The sequence below is a fragment of the Homo sapiens genome, chromosome 20 (assembly GCF_000001405.40).
Source record: "Homo sapiens chromosome 20, GRCh38.p14 Primary Assembly".
Classification (NCBI taxonomy): Eukaryota; Metazoa; Chordata; class Mammalia; order Primates; family Hominidae; genus Homo; species Homo sapiens.
The window spans coordinates 45,948,042-45,972,983 of NC_000020.11; the positions used below are offsets into that span (position 1 = coordinate 45,948,042).

Consider the following 24,942-nt stretch of genomic DNA (forward strand, 5'->3'; position numbering starts at 1 on the left):
GCAGAGAAGGCTGAGGCAGCTGGAGCTACTTCTGGGACCACACTCCCCTCCCTCCCTCCAGCAGCTCCTTCTCATGGCCCCTGGGCCTTCACTCTCCCATCTGGGGTCCCACACAGCTGGGTCCCTGGTGGCCTCTGCCTGGGCTCAGGAGGTCCGAAGAGTCCAAGGCCCTGCATCCCCTATCTCCAAACTCCCCCAGCAGGGCCTGTATGGATACCCCTGGGGATCAGAGGACTGGGAGCTGTGCCTGTCCCCAACCCAAAAGCCAGACTCTTGCTGGCCCTGGATCCCCACAGTGAGCGAAGAGCTGGGTGTGCCTCACAGTCAAGGCTCAGGAGAGCAGCTTCAGAGGATCTGTAGGCACAGAGCGTGTGCTCCCTAGGGCCCAGGGAGGAAGCAGGTCTGAAGGTGCTTGCTGGGGCTCTCGCTGGTTCAGCCGTCTCTGAACCAGCCACCTCTCTCATTGCCAGGCCTCTGCAGCAAGGGTCTGCCCTGCTGGTGGATCACCGGACTTAACAGGGGCAGGGCAGGACAGGGCACGCTGTGGAGCCAGGCAGCCTCCACCTCACAAGACCTGGCCTGGTACAGGCTACAGCAGCAAGCAGACAAAGTAAGCTGTTCAGGACTGGACTCCGGTCCCTTTATTGAGACTGACAGGCCAGTGGGTCCACCCAAACAAAAATAAATTTCTCTCCCAAAGCCTGCCTGCAGGCTGGGGCACCCAGCATGTCCTGGCTGGGGCCCATGGCTGCCCCTAACCCCAACAGCACAGGTCTGGCTCCCTGGGAATGAGAGGATGCTGGCTATCCAGTATCTGGAGATCCTAAATGAAGAGGGAGGTGAGTCCTGGTGGCCCCCTACCCCCAGGAGAGCTGGCCGCAAATCCATGATCTGTGTTGGGCCCTCGGGGCTCAGTCATCGGCCAGGGTGATGACGTCGTACTCGATGCCCTGGTGCTGCAGCTGTTGAATGTGTTCGGGCACTGTCTCGTCTGTACCAAACAGGCCCTGGGCTTGGGCCATGGCAGCATCAGCCACTGCTGCCAGGGGAGGGGAAAGTATGGTGAGCTGGAGGCTCAAGAGCTGGGTCCATACCCAGCCCCATGCTCCTCAGGATCCAGCTCCATACCTGTGACAGCTGAGTGTGCTGCAGCCTCAAGTTGAGCCTGTGTGACAAGCTGCTGGCCTGGGGACACAGGCACATACTGGATCTGGAGGGGAGAAGCTGATAAGATGCTGGCCTGGAGAAACCTGCCTGTGCCCCAGGTCTCCCTGTCCCCCCACGGCCCTACCTGGGACTCCTGAAGGAACGGGGCTCCTTGTTCATACTGGATGTGTGTGATCTGGCCCTCCTGTACCTGCAGAGAGGAAGCCAAGCTGTGATCCTAGGGAGAGGTCATGCAGCCCTTCACCACACAGCACCCTCATCCCAGGTCTGGCCTACCTGGATGTGATGGCCTTCAGGGACCACAACATATTCCTGGGGGAGCAGGTGCTGGACACCATCCTGGGAGATGATATACTGCACCTGTTGGTGGGGGGGGCGGGCATGGCGAGGCAGGTGCTGAGGCCCCACTCGCCAGGAGCTTAGCTAAGAAGGCAGAGTGGAAGACTAGGAACAGCCACCAGCAACAATGCAGTTGTTGGCAAGCATGGACCCCAGGAGGGGTGGTTTGGAAAGTATCATTCCTCCCCAAGGTAGGTCTTTGGGAGGGTAGGAGGTCACAGCTGAGGGGATTAACAGTAGCTAGTAGCTCACCTGGTTGTCGGAGGTCACCAGGTGCTGTACGGTCTGGCCATCTGCCGTGGTGATCTCTTGGATGTAGGCGGCTTCCTCCTGCCAGGACCAAGACAGCTCTAGCCTCATTTCTCTACCCCAACCCCTGCCTGTCGCTGGCCAGAGGGCCCCCAGTCCTGACTCTTACCTGATTGGTCACTGTCTGTTCCTGGGCAACGATGATGTGTTCCTGGCTCAGTGCCTGCTGTAGCCGCTCTGGGCCCAGGACCCCGTGACTGGACTGGAGTGCAGCTGGGCAGAGAGGAGAGGATGCTCACCTGGGGTCCAGGAAAACCTGCAATGCCCCAGCTGCTACTGTACCCAGTGGTGCCTTTTGGGGCAGTGGCCCAAGTCTCTGGATCTACCCTGTTGCCCACCCTGTGGCCCCAGGGGCAGCTCACTGTGCAGGGTGGCCAGTGTTTCGTCATCACTGTTCAGGATGATGGTCTGGGTTGGGGTCTGGGTAGGGGCCCGGGCTGTAGGGGTTCCTGACTTCCTCCCATCAGGACTGTGCAGCCGCTGGATGTGGAACTTGAGGTGCCCGTTACGGTTGAAACTGAGGGGGATGAAAGGTGGCTCAGGTTAGCTCCACCATACATGCCCAGCAGTCCCCACCCACCAGTATCTGGCCTCACCGCTGCCCGCAGAGGTGGCATGCAAAAGGCTTCTCCTTTGTGTGAGTCAGCATGTGCCGACGCAGGTCCTTCTTGTTCTTGGAGGCAAAGCTGCACTGGCTACACTGGTGGGGCCGTAGGCTTGAGTGCTGTGCCATGTGCGCCTGCAGAGAGGGCAGAGTTGGGGGCATTGGCTGGGTCAGGACAGATGGCAACAAATCCCCGGATCCCTGCTGACAGCTGGTCAGGGAACCAGACAAAGTGGACCTGGGAAAACCAAAATCCTGTGCACTAACAAGAAGCTGGGTAGAAAGGCCAAGCCGGATCCGTATCTGGTGCTGCTGTGTCCTAAGAATGAAAGGCCATAGATTCCATCATTATTAGGTAAATTGGAAAATCTCACTTTACCCATATGTAACACAGGTGTTAGATGAGGGGACCTGTGCAGGTCCCATCGGGCCCTGAATTTTTTTTTTTTGAGACAGTTTTGCTCTTGTTGCCCAGAGGCTGGAGTGCAATGGCGTGATCTCGGCTCACTGCAACCTCCACCTCCTGGGTTCAAGCGATTCTCCCGCCTCAGCCTCCCAAGTTGCAGGGATTACTGGCATGCGCCACCACACCTGGCTAATTTTGTATTTTTAGTAGAGATGGGTTTTCTCCATGTTGGTCAGGCTGGTCTCAAACTCCCGACCTCAGGTGATCCGCCTGCCTCGGCCTCCCAAAGTGCTGGGATAAGAGGTGTGAGCCACCGTGCCCGGCCCTGGCCCTGATTTTCTAGGGCTGAGGCCTGATAGGGCGTTCACCTCTGCACTGTAGGGTGGGGCTCTAGGCCCTGCTTCCCTCTCCAACCTCTGGAGAGGATGCAGTGCATGACTGGATCTGAAAACAAAATCCTCAGGCAAACAGGGAGGCCCCAAGCTGGGCTGTGAACCTGCCCCAGAACTGGCCCACTCACCTTCTCCATGGTGGCTCCCCAACCACCTCGAACCTCTGTGCCCTCAGTATTCTAGACCAGTGGTCCCCACCCTTTTTGGCACCAGGGACTGGTTTTATGGGAGATAACTGTTTCACGGCATGTGCAGGGTGATAGTTTTGGGATGAAGTTGTTGCACCTCAGTTCATCAGATATTAGTTAGATTCTTAGAAGGAGTGTGTGACCTAGATTACTCGTATGCACAGTTCACAATGGGGCTGTGCTCCTGAGACTAATGCAGCTGCTGTGACAGGAAGTGGAGCTCAGGCAGTAGTGCTTGCCCACCTGCCGCTCACCTGCTGTGTGGCCTGGTTCCTAACAGGCCATGGATGACTACCAGTCTATGGCCCAGGGGTTGGGCACCCCTGTTCTAGACGTTCGAGTCTCCCTAGCCATGCCTCTGTCACACACTTCTGTGCCTTTGCTCCTAGAGGCCCAGCTTGGCCATCCCTTCTGTGGCATTTTCCCCAGCACACACAAGTTCAAATGACCTGCTCTGTGTCCTGCACCCTTGGTTCACACTCGGGACACTGTGTCTGGCATTAGTCACGTTGTGTGTGGTTTGCCTCCCCACCAGACCAACTCCCTGAGAGCTGGGACCTTGCGGAGTCATCTCTGACCCATCTCATCCACTCAGAGGAGAGCAGAGGATCTGGCTTGAAAGGGCACTCATTAAAGGTTTGTTATACAAACGAGTAGCCCAATGAATGACAGCAGAGACACAGGAGCAACCAGCACCTACCCGGACCTCGGGCCACTGGCGGGCACTGAAGGGGCAGTCGGGGCACTTGAAGGCACCAGGCCCAGCGTGGGCCCGCTTGTGACTCTCCATCTCAGCTCGGCCAGGGAAGGCCTCGGCACAGATCTTGCAGGAAAACTTCTTTGATGCAGCAGTGGCTGCAGATGGCGGTGACGGGGGCACTGCCAGGCCCAGGGCTTTGCTGGTTGCAGGAGGTGAGGAGGCAGAGCTCTGGGAGTCCCCTACGCAGTGGGTCTTGGCTGGAGATGGGGGCTCAGGGCCGTCTCTGGGCAGTCCCCCACACTGCAGCAGGGGCCATTTGGCACCAGAGGCCAGAGCATCTGGACTTGGGAAGGAGATGGAGCCATCTGCGGTGAGCTGTAGAGAGACAGGGAGCATGAGGTACTGAGAAGGGGAGGGAGGTGGGGGAGTGGTTGGCATCCCCAAGCCTCACCTCAATGTGGTGCAACTGGGTACCATCAGTAGCCATGATGTAGTGGGTGCCAGCTTCTTTTAGGGTGTCACTCACAACCACAGCCTGGGCTGCCTCTCCTGCGGGCTCCTCGCTGTGGGCATGGAGAAGGTTCTAGGAGAAGATGGAGGGCCACAGGAGCCCCCTTCCCCAAGCAACAGGCATCAACTGAGGAGTGACTGTCACCACAGATGGACTCAAGTCAGAAGGGCCCAGGGTTCAACTGTGGCTCTGCCCTGTTACCAAATGACCCTCTACCATGTCTCTTGTAAATGATTACAACTCAAGCATGGGTCCTTCTCAAAAGCTGGTAATTCTTGTCCTCGGCAAACATGGCGAGGTGGGGGGCACACAGTGAGGCAGAGGGGTCTAACCCAACCAGTAGCAAACGGTGAATCCACCACCAGGAGCTAGTGGAGGAGGCAGGGCTAACGAGGACCTGCTGCCTAAGAGCAGACAGCAAATGCTGAGACTGGCCGCCCAGGTGCTGGCCAAGGGCATGGGCCTGGGGATCCTGACTCCCTGCTCAGCTCAACAATTTGGCACTTGGATTCAGGGCTTCCTCAGATGGCCTAAGAGTTTGGTGAACATAAACATGCCTGCCCAAGCTCATTCACTGTAGGGAAGCCAAGTACAGGTGCCAGGCCTCAATGCTGGTAAAGAGGCCTGAGCTTGCTCGGAGTGTCAGAACTGAAGAACACCTGGGATCACCCAAGAAGAGCACTTGGGCATGGGAACCAAAGGGACCAGGGTTCAAATCTCACCTACTGCATGTGTGGTTTCAGGCTGGTCACTTAACCTCCCTGGCCCATTTCCTCATTTGTAAAACAAGGGAAATCTGGGTCTCATGGGAATGGCTTAGGTCCCATCATGAGTGCCAAGTGCTTGGAATATCTAAGTGGCTAAAAAATGGTAGCTCTTGACCTCCTGAGAAGGGTAGACTCCACCACTAATCACTTGATGTGTATTGGGATTTTTGCCTCCTGCCAACTAGGCTTGGGTGGGGCCCAAATCGGACCGACCGACCACACCTACAAAAAGCTGAAAGGGGCCTTGCAGGCAGCAGGTCTCACCTGTAAGGTGTGCCAGGAGCTGATGTTCCCTCCTCCATAGGGGGTGCTGTGATGACACTGTAGCCAGTCCCACCAAATGGACCAGGTGCCAGGGTGATCTGCGGTAGGTCAGGAGGGCCTAGCTGGCTCTCGGCTGCTGCACCGCCCCCTGGCTCTGCCACGTGGAGGGTGACCACCTGTGGAGTGGCACCTTCAGGGGAGGGCTGCCCACCAGGGGATGCTAACCCTGCTTCCACATCTTCCGACTTCACCACAGCCACCTGCAACGGCACCAGGGGGCGGGATGGGAGGCACTGGTGGCAGAGGAGCGGGTATGCAAGACGCCTCCCCCATCTCAGTGTCCCAGATGCACCCACACACTCTAGTCAGACCAGTGCTGCCACCACTCATTTGAATAGCCCAAGTTCTTTCTAAAATATACTCTGGCTTTCCAAATCCCACTCAGCAACTGGAAATAGACCAACAGGAATAGGGCAGAGCAGTTGTGCCCCCCACAAAGATTTGGCAACGTCTGGAGACATTTCTTATCACAGCAGGAGGGGGATGGTACTGGCATATAGTCGGGAGAGGCCAGGGATGCCGCTGAACACCCCATAATGCACAGGACCGCCCCACCACACAATAGTATCTGCCTCAACATGCTAACAGCGCTGCAGACAAGAAATACTGGGGACAACTGACAAATCACTTAGAAAAAAGCTCCAGTGTACATCTTATTCCAGTTGGCTTCAAATGGTTTAAAGATTAAAATGTAATAAAACTCTAAATATATTAAAATAAAACGTAGGTAAGTATTTTAGAATTGGGACAGGGAGATTTTTCTAATCATGACAGAGAAAGATAAAACCTAGAGCAAAATTAACCATAAAATGAAGCCAAAAAACAAAGAAATTGGGGTTGGGGGATATTTCACAACTCATAAAAAGTGGACTTCCCTCATATATGGAGCTCCTGCAAAGCAATAACTAAAAGCTAACAATAGAAAAACAAATACAGGACACAAACAGGTACTTTAGAAAGGAATAAAATGGTCTCTGAACATACAGAGAGGAGTTCAACCTCATTTACGGTCATACAATTACTTTTTTTTTTTTTTTTTTTTTTTGAGACTGGGTATTGCTCAGGCTGGAGTGCAGTGGTACGATTACAGCTCACTGCAGCCTCAACCTCCTGGGCTCAAGCGATCCTCCCACCTCAGCCTCTCAAGTAGCTGGTACTACAGGCATGCATTGCCACACCCGGCTAATTTTTTAAGAGACAGGGTTTCACCATGTTGTCCAGGCTGGTCTCAAACTCCTGGACTCAAGCAATTCTCCTGCCTTGGCCTCCCAAAGTGCTGGGATTACAAGTGTGAGATTGGTAAAGATTTATAACGACTGAGGCCGGGCGTGGTGGCTCACGCCTGTAATTCCAGCACTCTGGAAGGCCGAGGCGGGCAGATCATGAGGTCAGGAAATCGAGACCATCCTGCTTAACATGGTGAAACCCCATCTCTACTAAAAATAAAAAAATAAAAGAAGCCAGTCGTGGTGGTGGGTGTCTGTAGTCCCAGCTACTTGGGAGGCTGAGGCAGAATGGTGTGAACCCGGGAGGCGGAGGTTGCAGTGAGCCGAGATCGCACCACTGCACTCCAGCTTGGGCAACAGAGCAAGACTCTGTCTCAAAAAAAAAAAAAAAAAAAAGATTTATAAAGACTGATAATACCCAGTGTATTGGCATGAATGCAGGGAAATATACCCTACTGGTGGCCACGTATACTGGCGTATCTTTTTACAAGGCTTCTCACCATACCCTCTGACCCACTAATTCTTCTTGTAGGAGGCTTTTTAAAAACACTACAAAGATGTTGGCTGGGTACGGTGGCTCACACCTGTAATCCTGGCACTTTGGGAGGCCAAGGCAGGCAGATCACTTGAGGTCAGGAGTTCGAAACTAGCCTGGCCAATATGGTGAAACCCTATCCCTACTAAAAATACAAAAAAGTAGCCAGGTGTGGTGACGTGCACCTGTAATCCCAGCAACTCAGGAGGCCGAGGTAGGACAATCATTTGAACCCAGGAGGCGGAGGTTGCAGGGAGCCAACATCACGCCACTGCACTCCAGCCTGGGTGACAAAATGAGACTCCATCTCAAAAAAAAAAAAAATTTATGAGCACTGAAAATATATGTACAGTGAAGCACTGCTTGAATTAATATAAAACGAAAGAACCCAGCCAATAAAGGACTGCCTAACTATAGCTGAGAACATCCATGTGATCAAATGATACAGAGATGCAAGATGGAGATCTTAGGAGAATAAGGGTAACTGCAGGTGCTGGCCAGGCCGTGCATCACATGCTGTTAGGTAAAAGATGACGCTGAGGAGCAGCCAATAATGTGATCCCATTTTTTAAGGAACAAAGGTCTAGGTGTTGGTATGAACATGAACAAATCCCTGAAGAAATTCTTCTGAACCCATTTACTGGGTATCTGATGGGAGGGGAGAAATGCCAAGGACTTTCACCTTCTACTGAAACATTTCCTAATGTTCATTTTTTTCTTTTTTTCTTTTTTTTTTTTTAGATGGAGTTTTGCTCGTTGGCCAGGCTGGAGTGCAATGGCGCAATCTCGGCTCACCGTAACCTCCGCCTCCTGGGTTCAAGCGATTCTCCTGCCTCGGCCTCCCGAGTGGCTGGGATTACAGACGTGTGCCACCACGCCCAGCTAATTTTGTATTTTTAGTAGCAATGGGGTTTCTCCATGTTGGTCAGGCTGGTCTCGAACTCCTGACCTCAGGTGATCCAGCCACCTTGGCGTCCCAAAGTGCTGGGATTACAGGCATAAGCCACCACGCCAGGCCCATTTTGTTTCTTTTACAAGCATGTGCTTTTGTAAGCAGAAAAACTCTACCACATGAGATTGGCATGGGAACAGGAGACAAATCAATAGAACAGAACTCAAGTCTAGAAACAGACTCCTACATATTTGGGAATCTAGTATATGAGGAGGACACTTCAAACCACAGGTGAAGATACCACGTCGGATGACTTCTGGAAAAAAAAAAATCGATCCCTACCTTTCTGCATACACCAGAAATAAATTCCAGGTGGAGTAAGATTTAAGTGTAAAAAATAAAACCCTAAGAAAAAAATATAAATGAATGTTTTATAACCTTGGGATACAAGTTGGGGGAGTCTTTCTAGGGATGATACCAAAGGGAAAACTATAAAAGACTGATAAATTTTCCTATCTAAAAATGTAAAACTTCTATACACCCCTAACTGCCATGAACTAAATTATTATGATTTCTGGAATTCATCATCTTAAAAACACACTCTCCATCTTCTCATGAGGCTGGGAAACAGGAGGGGCTAATAAACTTCCCTCTGCCTTGGAGACCAGGCCAGATGTGAACGGGGAGGGCAGGGAGGGGCAAAGGTGTTGAACTTTGGGGAGGTGCATGAACCAAGACCCCTGGAACGCGAGAGAGTGGTCTGATCTAGAGGAAGCCCTGGGGTCTGCAGGCTGTAGGAGGTGTCCCGGAATGAGGGCGCTCTTGTGGATGGAAAAGCTAGTTCAAGCTGTGGGGGCACCCACAGGCACATGGTGGTTGCAGAGGTGGGAGGAAGACAAAACAAGAACAGGGCCCCAGATGCCGCAGGGGCAGTGTGTACTGCTCCACCTGGCAGAGGTCACCAGTGATTCTGGAGAATGGACGGGATACCCTGCGGCCTCCGTGGCAAAGCCTGTTCCTCTCTGTTTGCCCACCAGACTTCAGCAGATCTGTCTCCTCCACTGCCTGGGAGCTCCCAAGGGCGGAGAAGCTCTGATACACTGTTTTCCTCTAGTCCCAGTGTCCAGTGCAGGGCTGGGTACCTGCGGTAGCTGGGAAGGGGAGCAGGTTCCCAGGCAGCTCACCTGCAGGGCTGTGCCCCCCAGTTCCCGCTGAGCACTCATGTTCAGCAGAAGATCCAAGGCTGTCTGCGTGGCCATCGCTGTCGACTCCTCAGCTCCTGGGTGGGGTGGGACCTAAGCCTGACAAAGTGCTAGAAAACTGGCACCCAATACCACCCCCTCCCCATCTTCCAGCCCCCACCAGCACGACCTGCCCCTGCCCAACTCAGAGGTCCTACCCTCCATGAGCTCCTATCCTCCTACAGAGCTCACCTTGCTGGTAGATGATGGTGGCGCCGCCCAGGGTGTCAGAACAGAGCAATGAGGGAGCCTCAGATGACTGGAAAGTTGTCGCCTCTGGGGGTATCTATGGGGTGGAGATATGGCCACGCCTGAGAGGGGCCAGCCCAGATTCAAGTGCCATTTGCCAAGCACCTCTGATCTGCCAGATGTTTTACATCTGTTGGCTTGTTTCATCTTCATAACCACTTTTCTTTTTTTTTTTTTGAGATGGAGTCTCTCTGTCATGCAGGCTGGAGTACAATGGCTCAATCTAGGCTCACTACAACCTCTGCCCCTGGGTTCAAGTGATTCTTGTGTCTCAGCCTCCTGAATAGCTGGGATTACAAGTGGCCGCCACCACACCCAGCTAATTTTTATATTTTTAGTAGAGATGGGGTTTCTCCATGTTGGTCGGCTGGTTTCAAACTCCTGACTTCAAGTGATCCACCCACCTCGGCCTCCCAAAGTGCTGGGATTACAGGCATGGGCCACCATGCCCAGCCCATAACCAGTTTTCAAAATATACGAGCTCAGTGCTACAGATGAACCCACTAAGGCTCAGAGAGGTGAAGTGGCTGGCCAAGAATCCCACTCCTAATACATAGTAGGGTGAGGGCTTGAACCCATGACTGTGTGATTCCAGGGCCTGTGATCTACCAGCAAGTCATGTGGTCCATCTTTCCAGGGATAGTGTGTCAGCTCACGTGGCAGAGACTGCTAGCTACCTATCCTGAGGCCATCCTCCTCTTCCCTCTTGCTAACAGAACTCTGATTTTCACCAGGGTGGCAATGTACCCAGCTCCAAGACATTTCTCAGCCTCCCTTGCAGCTAGGTAAAGTGTGGCCACATGACTAAGCAACGATCTTCAGGTGAAGTTCATGAGGAATGATGGATAGATGGTAGGTATCCTTTTTGCCTCTCCCCCATCCCTTCCTCCTGCTTCCTGCCTGGGATGTGGCTGGGAAGGCTGGTGCTCCTGCAGCTATACTGGACCATGAGGCAACTACAAAGATGAAAGTCATATGCCTGGGATGACTGGGCAAAGATACTGAGAACTTATTCCCTTACGACTGTATAATCACCGCACCAGCCCTAGACTGCCGACCTGTGGAATTCTTGTATAAGAGAGAATAAAAACTATGATCACAGTTAAGTTACTGGTGTTTCCATTCTCTATTACCAGCACTAGAAAGCCACCCTTACTCTAAGCTTAGGGCTGGCATATGTGTGACTCAGTGAGTTTTTACCACAGTCTCAAGAGGCAGGGATTATTTTGTTGCATCTCAATGTGCAAATGATGCTGGGGCTGGGAGAAGCGGCCTCACTCTGTCATCCTGACCCATGCCCCGACCTTACCTCAGGAGGTCCTGGGGAACTGGGAGGTGGTCCAGGGGCCGCACTGTGCTGCTGCTTCAGCTCCTCAATCTGCTGCAGAGAGAAGAAGGGGCGACGGCGGGAGGGGGGCTCCTCAGGGTGGCGCCTCCCCCATTCCTCGAAGCTGCTTGCGTGTCGGCACCGTACGTGCAGGCGCAGGTTCTTCTTGTGCCGTGTGCTGAAGTGGCAGTACTCACAGGCGAAGGGCTTGGCCCCTGGAGGCACATGTTGGGGCATGCTTAAGTCTGCCCGTCCCTAGCCTACCCCCTCCAGGAATCCTTTCTTGACCCTAAGGATCTCTCCAACTGACTGACTTCCAGCGATTCATTCCCGTATGTAGGCAAACACATGCCACTGTCCATTCTGGTGGCCCAGGACAGAAATGAATCAGGGCCGCCCTCTGCACTCAAGAGCCTTCCTGTGCCTACCTATTTGCAAAGTCATGTGACTACAAGCTCCTGTGGGTCATCACAGGACTCTGGCTAAGGGAACCCCTGGCTCCTTTTCTGTAATCGCCCCTAGTGTGCTGACCAGGGAGCTAGGCACCAAAGAAACAATGTTTGCAGTGCAGCTTCTGTGGGCCAAGCCAATGGCGTTGCTTCTGCAGCTTCATCTGCCAAGGCAGGGTCTGGAAGAGCCTCCTCTCCAGCCCCAGTGCCAGCACACACAAGGCTCAAGGAACAAATGGAACTTACTTTCATCATAGCCATATGGCAGGCACTCTGATTCCCCCATTTCATAAATATGGAAGGCTCGGAGAGGGCAAGCGACCGGCCCAGAGCCATCCAGAGAACAACCAGCCAAGCAGGAACCCAGGCTCAGGTTAGGGTGAATACGCCTATGGGAAATTCTCTTTACACTTGAAGGACTTGGGCTGTTCTGTGGCTGGGGCTACCGAGGGGGAAGGAAGAGGATGGGAGCTAAGCCTCTGATCAGGGGTACAGGGCACTGAGGGCTGGTGAGTGGGGCTGGGGTGTGTCCAGCCTGACCTGTGTGCTTGACAGCCACATGGGACAGCAAGAAGTCCTCTCGGAAGGTGCGGTAGGGACAAAAGCTGCATTTGAAGGGCTTGTCACTGACGTGGGACAACTGGTGGTTCAGCAGTGCCTTCTTGTCTTCACAAACAAACTCACAGAACTCACACTTGAACCTGGAGGCGGTTAGAGGGAGGGAAGCTCAGTAATGAGCTGGGGACTGCTCCCGTCCCCAGGGGCCTCCAAGGGGATGTACCTGCGGTTGGCAACAGCCTGGATGTGCGTGAGCAGGTGCATTTTGAAGGTGTAGCGCTTCTTAAAGGACTTTCCACACTGTGAGGGGTGGAGAGCAGTGAGATGGCGATCACCCTCCATCACCCAGGGGAGGCCCTCCTCTCAGCCCCAGCCCTGGCTCCCACCCACCTTGTCACACATGTGGGGCTTCTCAGTGCTGTGCGTCTTCATGTGCTGCGTGAGTCTTTTCTGCATGGGGTACACACGGCCACACACAGGGCAGGGGAAAGAGCTCAGCTTTGGAGTCTAGGAAGGCATAAGAAGGGGCCAGATGGAGAAAGAAGTGGAGGAGGGAGGATAAAACCTCCCCTCTTGTCCTCACCCCCATAAACAACCCCCGGGCAGGTTCCCTTCCCAGGCCAGCACGCCAGACTCACCGGATCTGGCCTCTTCTTCCTGTGGGGAAAAGGCCGAGGAATTAGACCAGAGCTTCCCCAAGCCCACTCTAGACCCTCTCACACTGAACAGACCCAGCCTCAGCTATGAGCCTACTCCCTGCCAAGGCCCCTTTCTCTTAGAATAGTGCTTCCCCAGCTGGAGTTCACTGGGGAAAACGCTAAGGGGCACGCTGTAAATAACATATTCTGCACTCAAATATATTTGTGAAATGGTACATTCTTTCTGTCTGTCAATCACAAAATGTTACTTGCATATTAAAAGCTCTAAGGATCAGTTAAGGCCCGGAGTTTGAGACCAGCCTGGGCAACATAACAAGACATCGTCTCTACAAAAAAAAATTAGTAAATAATAAAAAGTTAGCCGGGTGTGCTGGTTAGCACCTGTAGTCCCAGCTACTCGGAAGGCTGAAGCAGAAAGATCGCTTAAGCCTGGGAGGTTGAGGCTGCAGTGAGCTGTAATTGTGCCACTCTATTCCAGACTGGGTGACAGAGTGAGACCCTGTCAATCAGTCAATAAAAGCTCTAAGAAATCCTGCAGGAAAGAGGTGTTGAACAGCTCTGCAAGCTGGTGAACCTACACTAATCTTACTTAGCCACAGAACCTTTTTTTTTTTTTTTTTTCATTTAAAAAAAAGAAACCTTAAAGTATCTTGGGCTGGCTTTTCCACACACACAGCTGGAGCTACTGTCCCAGGGGATCTGTCTCCAACCTCTGCTCACACACCACCTCTCATGAAGCGAACTCCTTCCTGAAGCTCGGGATCGAATTATAATCCTGTGAGCAATCATTAGGTGCATAAGAACTTGTGTTTCTCTGTCTCAGGTGCACTCTCAGCCCTGTGAGAGATGAGTAGGATCTGGAGTCCAGAAGATCTTGGATCATTTACTGAACTCCTTTAGGTACACAATTTCCTTCAATCCCTTCAACAACTGTCCCCGTTTGATGAGAAACTAAAGCTCACAAGAGGTAAGAGGCTGAGCTGGGGACCTCAAGGCCTGGTACTGTCCTGTTCTAAGCCAAATGAACTGGGGTGAACTGCCTTTCTGCTCATGCCTGTAGTGTGCAGCAAATGGGGCTGGCTCAGAGCAGGAGCACGGTAAGTGGGAACCATGGTTATCCCGGGCCTCCACTTCCCCACCCAACCTGGCCTCTCTTGCCCAGGTCCCTCCCACCCCCACACTGACCGGTCCCGGCTGTGCACAGCGGCGTGCCGAATGACGTCCTTCCGGTAGACACTGGTGTAGCTGCACTCGTCACACTTGTAGGGCTTGCTGCCCACGTGGTTGAACATGTGCTCCTGGGAGACAGACAAAAGGATGGTGGGCTGGGGCTTGGCCTCCTCTCCCATCCCCGTCCCCACCATGCCTGTGGCCACAGTCTTAGGGTTGCTGCGGGAGCAGCTCACAGAACACAGGCATGTGGACAACACACCCCGACGCAAGGGTCAAAACCTAGGAAGGCCCGGGGACTGTCCCCAGCGAGAGCACCCACTCTGTGCCAGGCTCTGTGCTGGCTCACAACTTGACAAAGAAGGAACCTGAGTCTCAGGGTGGAGGGACCTTGCGATGGCAGAGCTTGGAGCTGAAGCCAGGCAGCATGGCGCCGCAGCCTCCACCTCTCCCACTGCGTCACGAGACATCTTCTCTGCAGAACCCACATAACAGCCCACAGCACAGCGTGCACAGAGCACAGGGGCTCGCTCTGACCACCGTGCCCGGAAGTACCCTCTCCCACAGCTGCCAACTTGCACATTGGCCAGGCCGAGCCACAGTTTCCTGGGGGTCAGTAGAATGGGACTATGGACACCTACGACCTCATTGGGCTGCAATAAGGATTTAATTATCCAGTTACTGCATAAAAGGCTCAGGGCTGCTGCAGGCCACATGGTAGCTTGTGTTAAGGAGAAAAAGGAACCGTTTTTTTTTTTTTGTTTGTTTGTTTTTTTGAGACAGAGTTTCGCTCTTGTTGCCCAGGCTGGAGTGCAATGGTGTGATCTTGGCTCACTGCAACCTCTGCCTCCCGGGTTCAAGCGATTCTCCTGCCTCAGCATCCCAAGTAGTTGGGATTACAGGCATGCACCACCATGCCCAGCTAATTTTGTATTTTTAGTAGAGATGGGGTTTCTCCATGTTGGCCAAGCTGGTCTCAAACTCCTGACCTCAGGTGATCCACCTGCCTCAGCCTCGCAAAGTGCTGGGATTACAGGAGCAAGCCACTGCACCTGGCCTAAAAGGAACCCTTTTCTTGAGACACATGACTGCCATCTGCTGGAAATCTTTCTAACACATGGAATCAGATGAAAACAGTTTTATGGCGTCTGTGGTGGTGAAGATATGCTGCCACTGTGCACTGTGCCGCCTGCAAAACCGCCTGTGGCAGCCCTTCCCAGCCCCTCCCCACATTCCCGCAAGCTCTGAGGAGCTGAGCGTTCTTCGGTACGCCAGTGAGCCAGACACGCGTTCTGAAGAGCAGCAGGAGAGCGTGACCCAGAATGCTCTGTGACTCCATTCTCCCTCAGTGGCACCAGCTGGCCTCTGCTTGCCTTCTTCACCCTCCCATGAGCCCCAAGCCTCTTTGGCTCCCGCACCTTGAGCGAGGACCAGCGGCGGGAACGATAGCTGCACTGCAGGCACTTGAAGAGCTGGGGATCGCCAGCCTCATGGGAGTTGACGTGGAAGCGCAGGTCCTCGTGGGACAGAAAGCGAGAACCACAGATGCGGCACAGGAAGGGCCTCAAAAGTGGTTTGGGCGACTTGTAATAGTACCTGCAGGATGAGAGTGTGGCGGAAAGGTCTGGTGGGGTTGGTGGCTTAACCACATGCATGCCCCACCCTCACCTCTGCTCCACATACTTGCGGTATTTCTTGCCTAGGAAGCGCCTGGAAGGTCGACCTCGGCGCCGGGGCAGAGTGTCATGCTCATCCGGGCAGGAGGGGGCTGCGTTCTCTGCATCTGACTGGCTCACACCAGCTTCCACAGGGGTCCTGCTCACCTTGCCCATGGCCACCAGGTGTCCTGGGCCTGAGGAGCTGGGAGCCTCGGGATCCTGTGGCTCTGGAGGGCTCTGTCCACTCTGGGAACTCACTAGAGGCTCTCCTTCCACACCTGCCACGGACATGCCAGGTCACAAGCCAGCCACTGACACACCAGGACAGACGTGGACAAGTGGGCCAGAGGCCAGCCAAAATATCCTCCCACCCACTCATCACAGACCACTGATGGGTGCATTGAGTCACATGACACAGACAGCCTGTGGTTAGAGGGCAGCATGGATACTACCGCCCAACAGCCGACATTCTGTCAGCACAGTAGGACCTGGCCTGGATTAGAGCAACGGCGAGAGCTGGGACCTCCCAGTCAGGAGACCTGGGTTCCAGGCACGGCTCTGTCACTGACATGCTGTGCACCTACAGACAAAGCCATTCCTCTCCCGGAGTCTCATTTGCCCCATTTATCCAAGGGAGGCCAGAATGGCGGCTTTGGTGACTTCACAGAACAATCTAAGGCTCGGGAAGCAATAGGAGTGCTTTAACACTGGCATTCCCCAGGGAGGTCAGGCAGCTGGAGGGCTGATGGGAGGGAAGGAGGGAGATGTGACTTCCATGCTTGCAAACCATTTGGACAATCTAAATCTGTTACCTCTTCAAAAACATTGACAGTATTTAAATATTAAATATGTACTAGACAAATTAACAATACAGACAATGCAGGTAATGTTCTGCTTCTTGACTGGGTTATACAGGTGCTTGGTTACACAGGTGTGTGCACCTTGTGAAAACTCATTGACCTGGGCAGAATATGTGTAACTTTCCATACATATGTGCCTCGGTAAAAAGGCCTTTTTGAAATAGAGACTAAAGAATACAATAGGCCAAGTGCGGTGGCTCACGCCTGTAATCCCAGCACTTTGGGAGGCTGAGGTGGGCAGATCACCTGAGGTCAGGAGTTTGAGACCAGCCTGGCCAATATGGTGAAACCCTGTCTCTACTAAAAAAATTAAGTCGGTGTGGTGGTGGGCGCCTGTGATCCCAGTTACTCAGAAGGCTGAGGCACGAGAATTGCTCGAACCTGGGAGACAGGGGTTGCAGTGAGCCGAGATCATGACGCTGCACTCCAGCCCGGGCAAGAGTGAAACTCTGTCTCAAAATAATAATAATAATAATAATAATAATAATAATAATAATACAACAACTCTCCAACCATAAACAGCTGCCACTGTACTCTTTTGTGTGTATTTAACCCTTAAGCAATCCTAAAAGGCATGCTGCTATAACCTCCATGCATAAATAAAGGGACTGGAGATTTAAGCTCCAAGTCACACAGACTGCAGGCGGCAGAGCTGGTGCTCACACCACGGCTGGGTCCTTTCTGTCCCCAGCCAGTAATGCTCCGAACCAGGGCTCCTCTGATAGTCCCAGGCCTCAGACTTATTCCTCTCTTCTCATTTCAGTAATATTTAAAACTTATCTTACGCATTCAGTGATAAAGTCCCAAATTTCTCTTTTGCTATGACAAATTGTGGTGAAAGGCATTTCCATAAAGCTGAGAGAGTTTCCTGAGTCAGGGTTTCTTGAGCTTGAGTCTTTGAGGGCTTTCCCCTTTCCCTGGAGGCCTGCAGGTGACCCGGTTTGAGACAGCTGCCCTGCAGGGCACACTCAGTCCCCAGAACTCCACAGAGACAAGCAGGGAGAGAGGCCACTCCTGACCCACCCACACGAGCCCCTCCCAAGACCAAGCCTCACCATCTGGGAGGTCTGAGATCTCCAGGCGGGGCAGCTTCCGGGGCCGGCCAGGTCTCCTTCGGGGCCTTGGGGTACTGGGGGTGGGGCGCTGGAGCCGAAGCTGCCGGCCTCGGGGCTCATCCTCAGCTGGATTATAGTCGCTATCCTCTGTGGGGGACAGTAAAGTTGGTGAACAGTGAGTGGCGGGACCTGCCCTTTCAGCCCTGACCCCTTGCCCAGCTCACTTCCCTACCCCTGCATACTCCTCCTCCAAGCCCACAGCGATGCCTCCTCCAGAAAGCCCTCCTGATCTCCTCTGGCTGACTTGGCGTTCCTGCCCTGAGCCCCTGAAGTTCTTTCTCTACCCTTCCTGGCACCTACCACTAGCTCATAAAGCACCTTCATGTGAATAGGGAAAAGGCAACCCTTCCTCCAGACACTGTACAGCCAGTTAGAAAAAAGTTTAAATAAACATTGAAGTCCACAAACTCTACGGCTGCCCTATCCAAAACAGCTGCCACCAGCCATATGTAGCTATTGAGCCCTTGAAATATGCCTAGTCCAAACTGAGATATAATTAAGTGTAAAATAATGAATTTCAAAAAATTGGTATTAAAAAACTCACCAATAATTTTTTTTTTTTTTGGTATTTTAGTAGAGACAGGATTTCACCGTGTTAGCCAGGATGGTCTCGATCTCCTGACCTTGTGATCCATCTGCCTCAGCCTCCCAAAGTGCTGAGATTACAGGCGTGAGCCACTGTGCCCGGCCAAAACTCACCAGTAATTGTTATGATGACTGCATACTGAAATATTTTAGGGCCAGGCACAGCCGCTCACACCTGTAATCCCAGTGCTTTGGAAGGCTGAGGTGGGAGGATTGTTTGAGGACAGGAGTTTGAGACCAGCCTGGGCAACTCAGCAAGACTCTGTTTCTTTTTCTTTCTTTTTTTTTTTTTTTCTGAGACAGAGTCTTGCTCTGTCGCCCAGGCTGGAGTACAGTGGCATGATCTCAACTCACTGCAACCTCTACCTCCCGGGTTCAAGCGAATTCTCCTGCCTCGGCTTCCCAAGTAGCTGGGATTGCAGGTGCCCGCCACCACACCCAGCTAATTTTTTGTATTTTTAGTAGAGACGGGGTTTCACCATGTTGGCTAGGCTGGTCTCAACCTCCTGACCTCAAGTAATCTGCCCGCCTCAGCCTCCCAAAGTGCTGGGATTACAGGAGTGAGCCACCATGCCCGGCATTTCTCTTTTTTTTTTTTTTTCTTTTTTTTGAGACAGGGTCTCGCTCTGTTGCCCAGGCTGGAGTGCAGTGGCACAATTACAGTTCACTGCAGCCTTGACCTTCTGGGCTCAAGTGATCCTCCCAAGTAGTTGAGATTACAGACACATACCACAACAGGCTAATTTTTGTATTTTTCATAGAGATGGGGTTTTGCCATGTTGTCCAGGCTGGGAGAACCCGTTTCTACAAAAATTAAAAAATTAGCCAGGCATGCTGGCAGGCACCTGTAGCCCTAGCTACTCGGGAGGCTGAGATGGGAAGATGGCTTGAACTCAGGAATTCAAGGTAACAGTGAGCAACGATCATGATGCTACACTCCAGTCTGAGCAACAGGGCGAGGACCTCCTCTCGCACCTTTACTTGTATTCTATTTCTGTGGGGCAAATGTGAACAGGGCCCCCTGTGCTCTTTTCCAGTGTGCACCCTGCACAACTGCACACAGAAGTCCTGGTCCCAGAGCACAACCTCCTCTGTCTTATACTGGAGGGACCTGTGGATGTGTCTGTGCCAATTCCTCTTTACTGGCCCTCCAAGTGAAAGCTCAGTGAGTATGTCTAGATGGGCATAGGGATGGCAGGCCTAGAAACCATGGTGGCCTACCCTCCAGGTCATCAATGGCTCCAGCGTCTACAATGTCATCATCGTCCTCCTCCTCTGGTCCCTCTTCCTCTTGGCTCTTGGTGGAGGTGCTCCACTTCCGTAGACGTCCTTTTTTACCAGCTGCTGCTGCGGCTGCTGCTACTGGAAGTGGAGGGAGGGTAAGACAAGCTTGCCATGTCTGGCTCCCAGCACCCCACCCCTACCCATGCAGTCCAAGCAGGTAGGCTGCTACTGACGCACCTGGACGGAAGTGGCGTTCCCGCATGTGGCGCAGCAGTGTGGCCTTGGTGCTGCTCCGGTACTGGCACATCTTGCATTTGAACTGCTGCACCACCACCACCTCCATCATGGCCTCCAGGCTCTGCAGGTCCGGCTCTTCGGCACCGGAGGCTGGGGGCAGCTGCACCGGGGAGCTGGGCCCACCCTGTGCCTCCAGGCATGTGGATGTGGATGTGGGGCCATCTGCCAGGGCCTCAATGGCTGCTAGGCTGTGGGCCAAGGTGGAACTGGACATTGGTGATGTCATGGGGGCTCCTGGGGATGGGTGAGGCAATTGGAGGGTGGTTAAATGGAGGGCAGCACTGGCCATGAGCTATAGCTACCCCTCCCAGGCAGGCCCAGGGAGTGCAGAACCAAATTCCCCACCAGAGGCCAACCCGTCAGTAGGAAAACTGAGACCCAGAGCAGTGGATACCCAGCCAGGGCCACAGACGGAATCCGCGGCAGAACCTGTCCTCACCTATCCCCCTGCCCACTGCAGGCCTCCCCGATTCTGGCACCTGGGGTCTTACCATCATCTGGGCCCTGTAGGATCAGGTACCGTGTGGTCTCGGCCCCGCCATCCTCAGCACTGGTCACAGTGATGCAGTCTGGGCAGAGATGGGGAAGGGTCACACCTCCTGGGGAGGGGGTCCCAGCAACAGGCCCACCCCCATGGGCCCCACTTTGGCCTGTGAGCAGGGCTGGTCCACACTCATTCTGGCTCCCATGTGCGACTGCAAACCAGCTGTGTCACCCCTGAGCCTCAGTTGACTCCCCTGGCAGGGCTGTCTGGAGGTCTAGTGTGACATGCTGACTCAGCAGCCGGCCCACACTTACACAAGATGCCACAGCTACACCAGCTGCCCAGGCTTTGACCACCAAACCTGGGAAGTCCTCCTTCCTCTCCAAACTTCTCAAAGTAAAGGACCAGCTCCTGCACCACTTTCTTAGGGTTGGCTTCCCAGACTATCCCAGGGCTTTTTGAGGTGCTATAGCCTCTATAAATATCATTAACAAAAAGTGGGTACAGCACCATGTGTCACGGCTCATGCCTGTAATCCCAATACTTTGGGAGGATGAGGCAGGAGAACTGCTTGAACTCATGAGTTCAAGAATAGCCTGGTCAACCCAGCAAAAAGGTGGTGTGCACCTGTAATCCCAGCTACCCTGGAGGCTGAGGCAGAGAATCCCTTGAGCCCAAGAGTCTGAGGTTACAGTGCACTATGATTGCACCACTGCACTCCAGCCTGGGTGACACAGCTCTGGAGTCAGACTGTCTGAGCTCATGGCCCGACACCCCACACTGCTTGCTGGTGACAGTGGGTAAGTTATGTATGTCCTTGGTGCCTCATATTTTTCATCTGGACTGTGAACATTAACATCCTCTACCTTTTGGGGTTATTGGGAGGATTAAATGAGCTACTGTATGTAAAGTTTAGAACAGTCCTGGGCACAAGGTAAGCAATAACAGTTTATATTATTTATTGAGAGTCTGTCATGCCAGGCGCTAGGCTGAGAACTTTACAGTGTTGTCTCATTAAATCCTCATTTACCACCATGAGACAGGGGTGACTGTTCCCACTCTGCACATTCCACATGGGAAAGTAATCTGCCTGAGTTCACACAGCTAGGGTGGGCACAGCTGGCTGCCGGACACTGCAGGAAAACCCCTGTGGGGCTCCTCTGCCTGACTCACTCTGGATGAGGTCGGGCCCGATGGTGGACTCGATGATCTTGTCGATGGCCGAGCCCAGGTCCGAGGAGGAAGCTGTGCAGTCGGACACCAGCATGTTGGGGTCTGGGAGTGCACTAGAGTGCACAAGTGCTGGGGGACCGCCTGTCACCCCTGCCACTGGCCCATGAGACACAGACGATGAATCAGGGAGGTAGCTATTAGGCAGGGGGTCTGCGCTCGAGCTGCTCTCAGATACCTCCTCCTGAGGGGCATGAAACAGGGAGGGAAAAAGTTTAGCAGCTGGGTATGGGGCAGGGCAGCCTGCCAGCTCCCACTTGCTAGACAGAGCTCTCAGGCCCAAGGACATGGTCAGTGGAGCCACTCATGCCCTCAGCCCCACGGAGGACCAGTGAGAGAGGCCCTCCAGTCACAGAGTCCCCCAGGAAAAAGTCACAGGGTCCCTGGATCTCATCAGGGAATACACAAAAATAAGAGAAGGGACTCCTAAGCCACAGCCAGGGGGAGCTATTTTCTTTGGGCTTTTGCATAAATCGTTCCCTCTGCCTGAAACTCTTCCCAGCATCACCCTATGGCTAAATCTTACCCAGCCTTCTCACCACCATTTAGCTGGTACCTCTTCTAGGAAGTCAATGCTGGCTTTGAGGCCAAGTCAGGACTTCTTCATCCTCAGTGCTGCAGCTGCCTGTGTCCCCAGCACCACACCACTGTGGGGTTCATTGTGCCTTTTAACAGCCTCCATGCCAGACTGTGCCCTCCACAAGGGCCTGGACCAAACTTGTCTTTTCCTCTGCTGTATTTCCAGGGCCCAGCACACGCTGAGCACATGGTAGGCCCCCATCTCTGCTGAACTAATGAAACCCCAGGACCCCAAAGTGATGACCACTGCTGTGTACTTCTATCACGTGATATACTGAATATGACCATTATCTTGCATATAAGAATGGCTAATACTTACTGAGTGCTTACAATGTGCTGAGCACTGTTTTAATTATTAGCTTTGCATATGTTAATTCATTTCATCCTCACAAAAACTCTATGAGGCAGGTATATTTACCATTCCCACTTTACAGACGAGGAAACAGAGCTAGATGTTGGGTAGCTTGCTCAAGATCACACGGCTAGGAAGTGGCACAGCCAGGAGGAGATGGTTTACAAAATGTTTGCAAGAGGATGTCTGGTGGGAGCTCACAATCAAGCACCCTTGAAAGCAAGTATTTCTGCTTTACTTTAGCCGGGATACTGAGGCTCAAAGAGGTCTCCCAGTAAACTGGAGGCAGGACCCAGTCTTAACCCAGGGCACTTGCGTTTTTTTTTTTTTTTTTGTAGAGATGAGGTCTCGCTATTTGCCCAAGCTGGTCTCCAACTCCTGGGCTCAAGTGATCCTCCCACCTCAGCCTTCCAAAGTGCTGGGATTACAGGCGATGAGCTACCACTCCTGGCCTAGACATCTGCCTCTCAAAGTGTGAGGACTGTGGGTAGTATAGTAGCTAAGACCACAGCCTAGATTTGAATCCTGGCTCTGTCTGCACTCTGTACCTCGGCATCCTTTTCTATAAGATGTGGGAAAAAATGGTATGTGTCTTAGAAGGTATGAAGCTCAAATGAGAAAATCCATTTTAGGGGTTTGGCTTGGTGCCTGGCTCACAGTAAACCAGAAACACCAAGTATTAGCTACAAACAAGCCTTGTTTCCTCTTGGCTGTCAGGCACTGCTGCTCGCGGTCCTTGCCTCCACCCACGCCGTCCAGCCGGGTCCATACCTGAGAACGGCTGCCGCGGTCCGAGCTTTGCCCCACGCCAGAGTCATCGGCCTCTGCCTGCCCCGGGGCGGCCGCGGCGTCGCTGCTGTCGGCGGACACGGCTTCTGAGGTGCCCACACCCAGGCCGCTCTCAGAGGGCTCCTCGGGCCGGCCAGGCCCAGGGGCCGCGTCGCTGCTGCTCTCCACCTCGTTCTCCTCCATCTGATCGGCGGGCTGCCTGACAGCGGGGCGTAGGGTCTGGGAACTTCACTCTGAGAAGAGAGGTGACCGTGGCTGGAACAAGTGGGCCATCTCCCCAGCCCCGGCAACCACGGCCACCCATTTGCACCCCTGCGCCCATTTTGCAGATGCGAAGATTGAGTCTCCGACGGGGCGGAGCTTCCTGGTGTATTGCGAGGGGAGCTCGGGAAAAACTTGACGGAGAAGCTGTGCTTCCCAGGCTAAGGCCCTTCCCGGGAGGGTGGTCAATGGCTGGTAATCTTGACCCTTTCCCTCGCCCCCACGATTCTCGTGGAGCGTTCCGCTCTGTGAGCCCCATCCGGGCCCAGTGGTTCAGCCCTTCGGCCCCCGCGTCCCCCCGGGTTGCAGGGCCGGTGGTACAGCCCGCTGGCCCCCTGGGTCAGTGGTTCGCTCCCCCCCGGTTCCCCTGCGGAGGCGGCTGACAGCGACGGTCTCGGGGCCTGGCGATTTGGGGCTGTCCCCGGCGCTGCCTGTGCTCCAGGCCCGACGCCATCTTGTGGTGGCGCCGGGTTTCCGCTCAGGCAAGTGCGAGAGCGACTAAAGGGCCTGGGACCCCGGGGCCCTGTTCGGACAGCCCCGCCGGCCTGGGACCTCGCCTCCGGGTATCCCCGCAGTGTGACCTCACTCCACGGCAGGGTACGGTGGGGCCGCCTAACTCTACCCGAAGCTCACCCGAGGCTTTCGTAGCCACGTTCCTCTCTGACTCCGGCATCGACGAGGTCGCCATCCTCTTTCCTCCGCTGCGGAGGAACCCATCGGCCTATTGTAGGCCGGAACTACTTCCCCCGCTGGCCCCGGGAAAGACACATTTTCAGTGTTCCGGAAGGTCGCTCCGAGGCCTCAAAACCATAATCGGGTCTCAACAGACTCTGGGACTTTATACGTCGCCCGGTGTTTGGCACTGAGCCCACTATGGTTTGGGGACTACTTTATCTCGGCGGAGTGTTACGTAGGAAGTGGTTGTGACGTCATTCTGGTCCCTTCCCTAGGCCGCAGGGTTGGGCGCGGCGAATGCGCGCCCCGCTCTCTTGGGGCGTGGCTCCCAGTGGGGGGCGTGGCTCCCGGTGGCTTGGCCGCGCCCCTCCTACAACAGCCCGGAAGAGCGTGTGGCCGCGGGCGACTTTGGCTTGGCCAAAGAGGAATTCATGTTGTCAGTCATTTTACCTGACTCATTACTTATTACTTAGCGCGCTGCTGCAACCCAATCGAGCTCTGCCCGTTAGGTTTGATGTGTTTTGTTGGGAAGGGAATGTATAATTATTGTACAGATAGGGAAACTGAGGTCTGGGTATGGGAAGGGCTGGTCCAAAATCACATCCAATAAAGGGACTCAGGAGCTAAGTACGGATGGCAGGAGTCGGGGAAATGGAAAGAAGTTAATGCTTGTCCCTTAGGTTTGTATACATATTTGTTAACATTAATAGAGCTGAGGCCGGGCGCTGTGAGTCACGCCTGTAATTCCAACACTTTGGGACGCCAAGGCAGGAGAATCGCTTGATCCCAGGAGTTCCAAACCAGCCTGGGCAAAAGAGCG

The 24,942-nt window shown here is 53.7% G+C and overlaps 1 protein-coding gene across 7 annotated transcripts, besides 2 other annotated features; it reads right to left on the reverse strand.

The window, feature by feature from the left end:
- On the reverse strand, window positions 619–24,162 carry ZNF335 (zinc finger protein 335). 7 transcript variants are annotated; one of them, NM_022095.4, is made up of 28 exons: window positions 24,081–24,162; window positions 23,169–23,419; window positions 21,410–21,650; window positions 20,244–20,321; window positions 19,693–19,986; window positions 19,453–19,593; window positions 17,587–17,733; window positions 15,697–15,949; window positions 15,432–15,609; window positions 14,029–14,141; window positions 12,823–12,841; window positions 12,575–12,691; window positions 12,408–12,484; window positions 12,167–12,327; window positions 11,160–11,392; window positions 9,794–9,887; window positions 9,545–9,639; window positions 5,648–5,907; window positions 4,557–4,668; window positions 4,106–4,480; window positions 2,412–2,554; window positions 2,178–2,332; window positions 1,925–2,028; window positions 1,759–1,836; window positions 1,444–1,527; window positions 1,292–1,357; window positions 1,129–1,210; window positions 619–1,039 (listed from the first exon to the last, which is right to left on the reverse strand). In NM_022095.4, the coding sequence occupies exons 2-28, from the start codon at window positions 23,367–23,369 to the stop codon at window positions 912–914; spliced, it is 4,029 nt and encodes a 1,342-aa protein (NP_071378.1). In that variant the 5' UTR covers window positions 23,370–23,419; window positions 24,081–24,162; the 3' UTR covers window positions 619–911. The 7 variants fall into 7 exon arrangements, 6 of the variants coding, with proteins under 6 accessions (NP_071378.1, XP_005260561.1, XP_047296319.1 ...); XM_005260504.5 differs by lacking the exon at window positions 24,081–24,162 and having other exon boundaries at window positions 19,453–19,590; window positions 23,169–23,850; XM_047440363.1 differs by lacking the exon at window positions 24,081–24,162 and having other exon boundaries at window positions 23,169–23,850.
- Window positions 23,674–23,793: a silencer, noted in NCBI's record as "silent region_12968". NCBI's record gives its function as "represses an Ori minimal core promoter by ATAC-STARR-seq in GM12878 lymphoblastoid cells {active_cell/tissue: GM12878}" and the evidence as "EXISTENCE:reporter gene assay evidence [ECO:0000049][PMID:35858748]".
- Window positions 24,564–24,783: an enhancer, noted in NCBI's record as "active region_17956". NCBI's record gives its function as "activates an Ori minimal core promoter by ATAC-STARR-seq in GM12878 lymphoblastoid cells {active_cell/tissue: GM12878}" and the evidence as "EXISTENCE:reporter gene assay evidence [ECO:0000049][PMID:35858748]".